Genomic DNA, 13,307 nt, shown 5'->3' on the forward strand with positions numbered 1-13,307 from the left:
TCAGCGGTAACCAGCTGGTCCCGCCCGCCGGACGAAGGCGACGCGCAGCCAATCAGCGGCTGCCACACAGCGGCCCGAGCCGGGTTTGGGGGTTGGGACCTCCGGCTGCAGGTCCCCTGGGCCAGACGCGCCAGCGCAGGCAGCCGGTTTGTGGTCGCGCGCCCGACCTCCGCAGTCCCAGCCGAGCCGCGACCCTTCCGGCCGTCCCCACCCCACCTCGCCGCCATGCGCCTCCGCCGCCTAGCGCTGTTCCCGGGTGTGGCGCTGCTTCTTGCCGCGGCCCGCCTCGCCGCTGCCTCCGAACTCACGGACGACAACTTCGAGAGTCGCATCTCCTACACGGGATCTGCGGGCCTCATGCTCGTCGGGTTTTTCGCCCCCTGATGACGCCACTCTGCCAAGGCGGGGGAAGAAGGGCCGGGCTGGGCCGGGGCCGGGGGCGAGGGCGCGGGGAACTGTTGGGCCTACGCAGCGCCGGCGCCCTTCATTCCTGTGGGCCCCTGCTGTGGCGGGCACATTTCTCATTCCCGGGAGCTGGAGGTGCCTCGCCGAGAGCGGTGGAGTCGGTGCTGATCGGCCCAAGGAAAACCCGAAGGCTGCGCTCACGCAGGGCCTCATCCTTATCTCGGTGCTCTTGTGGCACTTCCTATTTGCAGAGGGTTTTGCCACCCCTTCCCCCAGTTCAATATGTAGCTATATTGTTTCTGCATGAGTCAGTATTAATGTTACTCCAGTCTACAGACTAGACATCCCAAAGCCTTGTAGTGGAAGCGGACGTTTCACCAAATGCAGAAGTCCTGGATCCCTAGGGTATTTCCTTTCATCTTACCTCACGCCGCACAGCCATTGGTTTCTAGCCAAGGTCACTGAGTGGCTGCAGAATGGTCCTAAGTGCTTTCTTGAGGCAGGCAATTTGTCCGTCACATGGTGTACAGTTTCTCCCTTCAGCTGATCACTTACATCTCAGTACCGGCAGATACCTCTGTCCAAACGAAAAGAGTACCTGAACAAGAATAATTCCATCATAATCTGTCCATATTGTCCATTTTAATTAGGATTTCTTTAAAATGTCAATACTCCGAATAGGAACAGCTCCAGTCGACAGCTCCCAGCATGAGTGACGCAGAAGACGGGTGATTTCTGCATTTCCATCTGAGGTACCCGGTTCATCTCAATAGGGAGTGCCAGACAGTGGGCGCAGGTCAGTGGGTGCGCGCACTGTGCACGAGCCGAAGCAGGGCGAGGCATTGCCTCACTCGGGAAGCGCAAGGGGTCAGGGAGTTCCCTTTCCTAGTCAAAGAAAGTGGTGACAGACAGCACCTGGAAAATCGGGTCACTCCCACCCGAAAACTTCGCTTTTCCGACGGGCTTAAAAAACAGCGCACCAGGAGATTATATCCCGCACCTGGCTCGGAGGGTCCTACACCCACGGAGTCTCGCTGATTGCTAGCACAGCAGTCTGAGATCAAACTGCAAGGCGGCAGCGAGGCTGGGGGAGGGGTGCCTGCCATTGCCCAGGCTTGCTTAGGTAAACAAAGCAGCCGGGAAGCTCGAACTGGGTGGAGCCCACCACAGCTCAAGGAGGCCTGCCTGCCTCTGTAGGCTCCACCTCTGGGGGCAGGGCACAGACAAACAAAAAGACAGCAGTAACCTCTGCAGACTTAAATGTCCCTGTCTGACAGCTTTGAAGAGAGCAGTGGTTCTCCTAGCACGCAGCTGGAGATCTGAGAACGGCCAGACTGCCTCCTCAAGTGGGTCCCTGACCCCTGACCCCCAAGCAGCCTAACTGGGAGGCAACCCCCAGCAGGGGCAGACTGACACCTCACACGGCCAGGTACTCCAACAGACCTGCAGCTGAGGGTCCTGTCTGTTAGAAGGAAAACTAACAAACAGAAAGGACGTCCACACCAAAAACCCATCTGTACATCACCATCATCGAAAACCAAAAGTAGATAGAACCACAAAGATGGGGAAAAAACAGAGCAGAAAAACTGCAAACTCTAAAAAGCAGAGCACCTCTCCTCCTCCAAAGGAACACAGTTCCTCACCAGCAACGGAACAAAGCTGGACGGAGAATGACTTTGACGAGCTGAGAGAAGAAGGCTTCAGACGATCAAATTACTCTGAGCTACGGGAGGACATTCAAACCAAAGGCAAAGAAGTTGAAAACTTTGAAAAAAATTTAGAAGAATGTATAACTACAATAACCAATACAGAGAAGTGCTTAAAGGAGCTGATGGAGCTGAAAGCCAAGGCTCAAGAACTACGTGAAGAATGCAGAAGCCTCAGGAGCCGATGCAATCAACTGGAAGAAAGGGTATCAGCGATGGAAGATGAAATGAATGAAATGAAGCGAGAAGGGAAGTTTAGAGAAAAAAGAATAAAAAGAAATGAGCAAAGCCTCCAAGAAATATGGGACTATGTGAAAAGACCAAATCTACGTCTGACTGGTGTACCTGAAAGTGATGGGGAGAATGGAACCAAGTTGGAAAACACTCTACAGGATATTATCCAGGAGAACTTCCCCAATCTAGCAAGGCAGGCCAACATTCAGATTCAGGAAATACAGAGAATGCCACAAAGATACTCCTCGAGAAGAGCAACACCAAGACACATAATTGTCAGATTCACCAAAGTTGAAATGAAGGAAAAAATGTTAAGGGCAGCCAGAGAGAAAGGTGGGTTACCCTGAAAGGGAAGCCCATCAGGCTAACAGCAGATCTCTCGGCATAAACTCTACAAGCCAGAAGAGAGTGGGGGCCAATATTCAACATTCTTAAAGAAAAGAATTTTCAACCCAGAATTTCATATCCAGCCAAATTAAGCTTCATAAGTGAAGGAGAAATAAAATACTTTACAGACAAGCAAATGCTGAGAGATTTTGTCACCACCAGGCCTGCCCTAAAAGAGCTCCTGAAGGAAGCACTAAACATGGACAGGAACAAACGGTACCAGCCGCTGCAAAATCATGCCAAAATGTAAAGACCATCGAGACTAGGAAGAAACTGCATCAACTAATGAGCAAAATAACCAGCTAACATCATAATGACAGGATCAAATTCACACATAACAATATTAACTTTAAATGTAAATGGACTAAATGCTCCAATTAAAAGACACAGACTGGCAAATTGGATAAAGAGTCAAGACCCATCAGTGTGCTGTATTCAGGAAACCCATCTCACGTGCAGAGACACACATAGGCTCAAAATAAAAGGATGGAGGAAGATCTACCAAGCAAATGGAAAACAAAAAAAGGCAGGGGTTGCAATCCTAGTCTCTGATAAAACAGACTTTAAACCAACAAAGATCAAAAGAGACGAAGGCCATTACTTAATGATCAATTAAGTAATTAAGGCCTTGTTGATCAATTCAACAAGAAGAGCTAACTATCCTAAATATATATGCACCCAATACAGGAGCACCCAGATTCATAAAGCAAGTCCTGAGTGACCTACAAAGAGACTTAGACTCCCACACATTAATAATGGGAGACTTTAACACCCCACTGTCAACATTAGACAGATCAACGAGACAGAAAGTCAACAAGAATACCCAGGAATTGAACTCAGCTCTCCACCAAGCGGACCTAATAGACATCTACAGAACTCTCCACCCCAAATCAACAGAATATACGTTTTTTTCAGCACCACACCACACCTATTCCAAAATTGGCCACATAGTTGGAAGTAAAGCTCTCCTCAGCAAATGTAAAAGAACAGAAATTATAACAAACTATCTCTCAGACCACAGTGCAATCAAACTAGAACTCAGGATTAAGAATCTCACTCAAAACCGCTCAACTACATGGAAACTGAACAACCTGCTCCTGAATGACTACTGGGTACATAACGAAATGAAGGCAGAAATAAAGATGTTCTTTGAAACCAACGAGAACAAAGACACAACATACCAGAATCTCTGGGACACATTCAAAGCAGTGTGTAGAGGGAAATTTATAGCACTAAATGCCCACAAGAGAAAGCAGGAAAGATCCAAAATTGACACCCTAACATCACAATTAAAAGAACTAGAAAAGCAAAAGCAAACACATTCAAAAGCTAGCAGAAGGCAAGAAATAACTAAAATCAGAGCAGAACTGAAGGAAATAGAGACACAAAAAACCCTTCAAAAAATTAACGAATCCAGGAGCTGGTTTTTTGAAAGGATCAACAAAATTGATAGACCGCTAGCAAGACTAATAAAGAAAAAAAGAGAGAAGAATCAAATAGATGCAATAAAAAATGATAAAAGGGATATCACCACCAATCCCACAGAAATACAAACTACCATCAGAGAATACTACAAACACGTCTACGCAAATAAACCAGAAAATCTAGAAGAAATGGATAAATTCCTCGACACATACACTCTCCCAAGACTAAACCAGGAAGAAGTTGAATCTCTGAATAGACCAATAACAGGAGCTGAAATTGTGGCAATAATCAATAGCTTACCAACGAAAAAGAGTCCAGGACCAGATGGATTCACAGCCAAATTCTACCAGAGGTACAAGGAGGAACTGGTACCATTCCTTCTGAAACTATTCCAATCAATAGAAAAAGAGGGAATCCTTCCTAACTCATTTTATGAGGCCAGCATCATCCTGATACCAAAGCCGGGCAGAAACACAACCAAAAAAGAGAATTTTAGACCAATATCCTTGATGAACATTGATGCAAAAATCCTCAATAAAATACTGGCAAACCGAATCCAGCAGCACATCAAAAAGCTTATCCACCATGATCAAGTGGGCTTCATCCCTGGGATGCAAGGCTGGTTCAATATACGCAAATCAATAAATGTAATCCAGCATATAAACAGAACCAAAGACAAAAACCACATGATTATCTCAATAGATGCAGAAAAGGCCTTTGATAAAATTCAACAACCCTTCATGCTAAAAACTCTCAATAAATTAGGTATTGATGGGACGTATCTCAAAATCATAAGAGCTATCTATGACAGACCCACAGCCAATATCATACTGAATGGGCAAAAACTGGAAGCATTCCCTTTGAAAACTGGCACAAGACAGGGATGCCCTCTCTCACCACTCCTATTCAACATAGTGTTGGAAATTCTGGCCAGGACAATTAGGCAGGAGAAGGAAATAAAGAGTATTCAATTAGGAAAAGAGGAAGTCAAATTGTCCCTGTTTGCAGACGACATGACCGTATATCTACAAAACCCCATTGTCTCAGCTCAAAATCTCCTTAAGCTGATAAGCAACTTCAGCAAAGTCTCAGGATACAAAATCAATGTACAAAAATCACAAGCATTCTTATACACCAACAACAGACAAACAGAGAGCCAAATCGTGAGTGAACTCCCATTCACAATTGCTTCAAAGAGAATAAAATACCTAGGAATCCAACTTACAAGGGATGTGAAGGACCTCTTCAAGGAGAACTACAAACTACTGCTCAAGGAAATAAAAGAGGACACAAACAAATGGAAGAACATTCCATGCTCATGGGTAGGAAGAATCAATATCGTGAAAATGGCCATACTGCCCAAGGTAATTTACAGATTCAATGCCATCCCCATCAAGCTACCAATGACTTTCTTCACAGAATTGGAAAAAACTACTTTAAAGTTCATATGGAACCAAAAAAGAGCCCGCATTGCCAAGTCAATCCTGAGCCAAAAGAACAAAGCTGGAGGCATCACACTACCTGACTTCAAACTATACTACAAGGCTACAGTAACCAAAACAGCATGGTAGTGGTACCAAAACAGAGATATAGATCAATGGAACAGAACAGAGCCCTCAGAAATAACACTGCATATCTACAACTATCTGATCTTTGACAAACCTGAGAAAAACAAGCAATGGGGAAAGGATTCCCTATTTAATAAATGGTGCTGGAAAAACTGGCTAGCCATATGTAGAAAGCTGAAACTGGATCCCTTCCTTACACCTTATACAAAAATCAATTAAAGATAGATTAAAGACTTAAATGTTAGACCTAAAACCATAAAAACCCTAGAAGAAAACCTAGGCATTATCATTCAGGACATAGGCATGGGCAAGGACTTCATGTCTAAAACACCAAAAGCAATGGCTACAAAAGCCAAAATTGACAAATGGGATCTAATTAAACTAAAGAGCTTCTGCACGGCAAAAGAAACTACCATCAGAGTGAACAGGCAACCTACAAAATGGGAGAAAATTTTTGCAACCTACTCATCTGACAAAGGGCTAATATCCAGAATCTACAAAGAACTCAAACAAATTTACAAGAAACAAACAAACAACCCCATCAAAAAGTGGGCAAAGGACATGAACAGACACTTCTCAAAAGAAGACATTTATGCAGCCAAAAAACACATGAAAAAATGCTCACCATCACTGGCCATCAGAGAAATGCAAATCAAAACCACAATGACATACCATCTCACACCAGTTAGAGTGGCAATCATAAAAAAGTCAGGAAACAACAGGTGCTGGAGAGGATGTGGAGAAATAGGAACACTTTTACACTGTTGGTGGGACTGTAAACTAGTTCAACCATTGTGGAAGTCAGTGTGGCGATTCCTCAGGGACCTAGAACTAGAAATACCATTTGACCCAGCCATCCCATTACTGGGTATATACCCAGAGGACTATAAATCATGCTGCTATAAAGACACATGCACACGTATGTTTATTGCGGGACTATTCACAATAGCAAAGACTTGGAACCAACCCAAATGTCCAACAATGATAGACTGGATTAAGAAAATGTGGCACATATACACCATGGAATACTATGCAGCCATAAAAAATGATGAGTTCACGTCCTTTGTAGGGACATGGATGAAATTGGAAATCATCATTCTCAGTAAACTATAGCAAGAACAAAAAACGAAATACCGCATATTCTCACTCATAGGTGGGAACTGAACAATGAGAACACATGGACACAGGAAGGGGAACATCACACTCTGGGGACTGTTGTGGGGTGGGGGGAGGGGGGAGGGATAGCATTGGGAGATATACCTAATGCTAGATGATGAGTTAGTGGGTGCAGCGCACCAGCATGGCACATGTATACATATGTAACTAACCTGCACATTGTGCACATGTACCCTAAAACTTAAAGTATTAAAAAAAAAAAAAAGAACAGCTTTTGGATTTACCCTGAGGTACTGTTAGTTAATTAAAGATCATGTGATAGATTGCAAATAAATAAATAAATAAATAAAATAAAATGTCAATACTCCAGTGAGAAAGTAACCAATATTGAGTAAATACTCCACTTTAGGGTGACTTAAATGAACAAGGGTGTAAATTCCTTAGATAGAACTAACTCAAAATAATCTGTTGGGGAGAAGGAAGAGCAAATAAGATTTCTGGCCCAGTCAATTTGAGTGGTTTTCTTTGTTTTGTTTTTGTTTTTTGTTTTTTAAACCTCCAGATCACTATCATAGTAAACAGTGATTCCTTTATCCTTGGGATAGCTCAATATATATAATTACAGTACTTAATTTTTCCCCTCCTGGCACAGTGACCCTTGGTTTAATACTATCCGTGTTCAAAAATGTCAGTAAAAGTTGTATATAACTTTTATTTGCTTCAGACTCAGGTCTTCGCTTCTTAGCCTCAAACAACTTGCTAAGGGTTACACGAAAAAAGTCCTGTAGTAAAGACCACCTGAATCAGAATGATGTGCTAGAGATGGCAAATTTTGTTTTCAGCTTGGACAGATTTTGTGTCCAGGGCATTTCTGGGGCTAACTGGCAGTACAGATTACACATATAGATAGTTCTTATACATCTCTGGAACTCATGTTCTCTCTTAGGAACAACTCTTCCCAATTATATGATAATGCTGTTAGCTTTGAGGGGGTGTCACTAAATTTGTAAAAACTGGGGGTGTCTGAGTTTGTCAGATCTGAGTAATGCTTTTTACTACAGGGGTCATGCAACAATTTAATGTGGGAATTGTTGGAGAATAGTGCGCCACTAGAATATTGGTTTAAAAAAGGAATTTTGGGGCCAGGCGCGGTGGCTCCCGCCTGTAATCCCAGCACTTTGGGAGGCCGAGGTGGGCGGATCACCTGAGGTTGGGAGTTCGAGATCAGCCTGACCATGAAGGAGAAACCCCGAATCTACTAAAAATACAAAATTAGCTGGGCATAGTGGCACATGCCTGTAATCTCAGCTACTCAGGAGGCTGAGGCAGGAGAATAGCTTGAACCCACGAAGCAGAGGCTGCAGTGAGCCAAGATCATACCATTGCACCCCAGCCTGGGCAATAAGAGCGAAATTCTGTCTCAAAAAAAAAAAAAAAATAGAATTTTTTGTTTGAATTGAAGGGGGTCTTTCCTACTTTAAGTTGTTACACGTGCTACCCTAAAAACTAGATATCCCATCAGGCACTGACTGTCTCAAGAATTGGGTGGATCTCTGCTGTGGTGTCTGCTTTGAATTTGTTTAAAAGAAAAAGTCACCCTCCACAATGTCAGCAAAGAAGTTGAGTTTTCTCAATGAGCAATTTGGAGTTAAAGAAGTCTCCTGTTGATGTCTTTTATATCTTCACATTCCACTACAGTTTTTTTTTTTTTTTGAGATGGAGTCTCGCTTTGTTGCCCAGGCTAGAGTGCAATGGCACGATCTTGACCCACTACAACCTCTGCCTCTTGGGTTCAAGTGATTCCCCTGCCTCAGCCTCCCAAGTAGCTGAGATTACAGGCCCGCCACAATGCCCGGCTAATTTTTTTGTATTTTTAGTAGAGATGGGTTTCACCATTTGGGCCAGGCTTCTCTTGAACTCCTGACCTCAGGTAATCTACCCACCTCGTCCTCCCAAAGTGCTAGGATTACAGGCGTGAGCCACCATACCCGGCCTATTTTTTTTTATTTTATTTAAGACAGAGTCTTGCTCTGTTACCCAGGCTGGAGTGCAGTGGCATGATCTGGGCTCACCGCAACCTCCGCCTCCCAGGTTCAAGCGATTCTCCTACCTCAGCCTCCTGAGTAGCTGGGATTACAGGCACACACCACCAAGCCCGGCTAATTTTTGCATTTTAGAAGAGACGGGGTTTCACCATGTTAGGCTGGTGACAAACCACTGACCTCAGGTGATCCACCCTCCTCGGCCTCCCAAAGTGCTGGGATTACAGGCGTGAGCCACCTAGCCCGGCCTTGGTATTTTTATTTATTAACATTTCAGCTGGAAATGTTTTCTGACTGCTATATTCCTTTGTACAGTTCAGGAGTACTATCTTACAAGAAACAGTTAAAGAATCCTTAGTAAGAGTAAAATGGGCTGCGCTCGGTGGCTCACGCCTGTAATCCCAACACTTTGGGAGGCTGAGTCGGGTGGATCACGAGGTCAGGAGATTGAGACCATCCTGGCTAACACGGTGAAACCCTGTCTCTACTAAAAATATAAAAAATTAGTCGGGCATGGTGGCGGGCGCTTGTAGTCCCAGCTACTCGGGAGGCTGAGGCAGGAGAATGGCGTGAACCCAGGAGGCGGAGGTTGCAGTGAGCCAAGAGCAGTGAGCCAAGATCGGACCACTGCACTCCAGCCTGGGCGACAGAGTAAGACTCCATCTCAAAAAAAAAAAAAAAAAACAAAACACAGTAAAATGGGGTCTGGCATGAAAAGAGATGGGCAAAGTCAATGTTATTCCTGCCAGATATACCCCAACTGGCCAAGGAAGCAGGGAGAGTCCCTGAGAGCCATCAGGAGAGTCCGTGGCTTTTGGAGTGTGGGGTATCCAAGACTCTTAGGAGAAGGAACTCTTTAGAGCGCCTAGGGAGTCTGTTTTTCTCACCTTCAGATTTCCTAAAACATCTACCTGCTAAGGCCTCAAGGTGAATCAAATCACCTCTCATGCTACCTATGGAGAGCTTGCAATGTCCCATGGAAAAATAAACAGAATCCCAGTAGAGTAAGCACCAACGTTGCTCTCACATTTTCTAGGGGAATAAAACAAGGATCCAGAGGTAAGGGGTGAAACTGCAGATCTAACATGAGATAGGGAGGTCAGGGAGCTGGGAAGAAACAGCAGATTTTGGGTATCATGCATAAGAGAACCAGATTAAGAAGGACATGGAATCTGAGAAGGGGTTCATGCAAATTTAGGATGTCAGTAGAAAGGCTAGAATACTCGGACGCAAACTGGAGGGCATGCAATACACATGAAGCTCAGCCCAGGAAAACCACATGCATAATCAGGAAGGGGATGGAAGTTCTTTCTTGGTAATTTCCATCACATCAAAGCATCACCCTTCTGATCTACTGGAAAACCCCAGACTTGCTAGGATCTTTCTACTTCATCAGAAAAATGAGGCAAATGCCCTAGAAAAAAGAAAAAGTACTGATTCTCTGCTCTAAACCCAAGAATTCCAATGTAGGTCTATCAGTCTGGGTAGGGTCAAGGATAAACATAAATATGTAACCCTAATACTAGGGACTGGTGATGGAAAAAATGTCCCCATTGGAGGATGAAGAAAAACACATCCAAACCACTATCTCAGTCCCCAGTCTTTCCTATGCCTCCTCAACATCTCCTTAAAGGGACTAAGGATACACGGGACAACGAAGTCTATGCAAGACAGCTTCCTGTTCACCAGTGACTAAAGCCCGTAACTCAAAAGGATTATAGCCTGACCATCTTCGAACCTCTGGACTTTGCCCCAAGGATACAATTGAGGCTTCTGTGCCTCAATTTCTCCCATGATCTAGTGGCAGGAGGGCAGGAAAGTTACTGTCTCTAGCTCCTCAGAGTGGCTAGAAAAACATTTGGATTTGAAGATGGTGGTAGTAGAGGGTTAGAGTGATAAGAACAGATTCCAAGGCAAGAGATTACTCCTGTATTGAACAGAACTGGGGAATGAGTAACATTAGGGGGTGGTGAGAAAGGAGAATAGGAAGGGGATGAGCAGCCAATGCTACAGCTACCAGGCAGTCTGGCCCCAATCCCATCCAAGTGACTAAATGCAAGTTACATAACCTTAGGGCAAATAGGAGAAAGAAATAGGTGGGCTCTCCTGCCAGAAGTGCAATAAGCAAAGCAGTCAGACCCAGCCAGGGTAGTGGCAGCAGCCAGTTTGGTGGCAGGGGGTACCGTAGAGGCATTCGGGGTCATCCTGGCCTGAGCGCAGCCAGTTCCGGAAGAGGCGCAGGTGGTAGGAGCACTGGTGCAGGTGATGCGCCAGCGTGGCATCCAAGGAGACTGGCCGGCCCCCTGTACAGTCAGAGGAAAAACTGCGCAGCAACCGGACCACAGGGTGCTGGTCATCCAGCAGCTCTGGACGGGGTGAGGGGACCACGGCAGGAAGCACAAAGATAGAGAAAGAGAAGAGGGAGAGACAATGAGGGGGGCACTGACTAGCACAAGCATTACTGGGAGGTGGGGGCACTCAGATCCAAGGTGAGCTAAGAGAGAAGCAGAGATGGTCAGAGCCACTGGGCATCTCTTGCAGGGAAGAACAGTGGTGTCATCATACAATGAGTCTGAAAGAAGGGATAAGTGAGATCTCATCATACAGCAATGCCTTCCCCTTGCTCCTTGAGCATAATTCCGTCAGTGCTTGTAGACATCAGTCACATCATTGTGAACAGGGGTGAGCTGGCAGTTTTGCAGCTGGGAGTCTTGACTGCAGCTTCAGGATCCCTCATCATTGGATGAACCCTACTTAGGGCCTGCATTCTCAGGTGAATGGATTTATGTAGTAGGGATAAAAATGAAAAAGTGATGGTATTGTGTATCAAGACAGTCAAGCTAAAAAGGCTCTCTTTTAGGGCAGGCCTTCTGGACCACACTCTAAGATAGCTGAAGACAGGAATGGTATTAGGCAGTTGGCACAGGAGACTGGCAGGAAACCAGGTGTAGAACTCCTTTAAAACGGTATGTGTGGAAAATGGAATCAGTATGTGAAAATACCAATATTGACTAACCATCCTGTACCTTACTGTTGTTTAAACAATCAGTTAAAAAAAAAAAGTACACTAAAACTCCGGACTTAGAGATACTGTATCCATTACACAAGCTGAAAGTTAGATAATTTTATATTTTCTTCCCACTGCTGGTGAGTCTAACTGCACTTTTTTCAGCTGGTGAGTGGAAAAGCTTTGATTCTGAACCCCTCATTTTAGCTATTTGGCAAACTTTGTGGATGATGTAATTCAGCTACAAAAGGTTGAAGGCAGTCAAAGCCATGTGGAGAGGGGTGTAAGAGGAACAATAGTGAAAAGATCTTAGAGAAAAGATATGGGATCTTAAGACATGATGTGAGGATGGACAAGAACTTGAGTACAGGATGTTGGTATAGAGAAGGTAGAAACAAGGCAGCTCAGGATGACTGCTCAAAACTCCCAGACCAGAACTGGCTCCACAAGGTGATCCCATGAGACTGTGGTCTTCAGAGACCTTAGCTTGGATGTCAGGACAGATTTCAGCTCTACCTAGGCTAGTCTTGTGAGCACTAACTGTATATACCAATGGTCACATAGTTATATGGGTCCCTAGAAGATAACGGGCTTGACAAATCCAGTGGTCACACCCTGACATTCTGGATGAGCGTGAGCCACAGTCTTTCCCACTTTATTAATTTACTTTGGTGAATTCAGTGTGCAGCTTAGTAACAGGCTATACTTGTGTGCTGGATATAGTTACAGGATATAAGAGCAGCTTATTAGGAACAAAGGCAGAGAAAGGCTGAGGGCTGCTCTCCCATCAAAGTGTGAAGACACACTGCCTTGCCTCTTTTCCAAAGCCAGGTCCAGTATTTCCAGCTGCTGTTTCAAAGCCAGATATCATGGCAAGGAGATGGTGATGACGGAGCTGCTGTGACTTACCTGCAACTACAGACAAAACATCCACTTTGTAATTGCTGGTCAGTCAAGCAAGATCTTGGCCATGGAGAAGAGCCTTCATATTTCTTGAGGGTCAAATTGAATCTAGATAATCTTCCTCAGCAAGTGACATACAGCTCCAAATTTCTCCTATTGTCAACAGGTAGAGCCCAGATTCTGGCTTCTTAAGCATGTTAGCCTCCAAGCTCCAGCACAAGAAAAACAAAGGAGGCCACAAGGCCCCTGAGGAAGTGTGCAGGGCATTGGAGATCTTAAATTTGTTTTCCTGCACAACACCTGCATTTTCCAGCTCTTTTTTCCTCAACTCCTTTTAGCAGAATTAAATCTTCTTCAACGGGTGAGGCTGCTGAACAGTACTTCGGGGAATTGGAGGTACATACGTCTGAGGGTCTGTTTAATGGACTTGGGTCTTTTCTCATGGCACTTAAGAACTAGGAGATACGTGATTTAGCTCTGATTTCAGGAGCCCACGTTCCTTGTACTATATTGT

General features: G+C 44.8%; 2 pseudogenes across 1 annotated transcript in view; one reads left to right on the forward strand and one right to left on the reverse strand.

The window, feature by feature from the left end:
* Window positions 1–13,307, reverse strand: part of PPIP5K1P1-CATSPER2 (PPIP5K1P1-CATSPER2 readthrough) — a 59,470-nt pseudogene that overhangs the window by 18,336 nt on the left and 27,827 nt on the right. The window contains exon 29 of the transcript NR_146339.1: window positions 830–1,003. The product of NR_146339.1 is annotated as a PPIP5K1P1-CATSPER2 readthrough (transcript). The remainder of the gene's footprint in view (window positions 1–829; window positions 1,004–13,307) is intronic.
* Window positions 124–394, forward strand: PDIA3P2 (protein disulfide isomerase family A member 3 pseudogene 2; annotated as a pseudogene).

Source organism: Homo sapiens, chromosome 15 (assembly GCF_000001405.40).
Source record: "Homo sapiens chromosome 15, GRCh38.p14 Primary Assembly".
Taxonomy (NCBI): domain Eukaryota; kingdom Metazoa; phylum Chordata; class Mammalia; order Primates; family Hominidae; genus Homo; species Homo sapiens.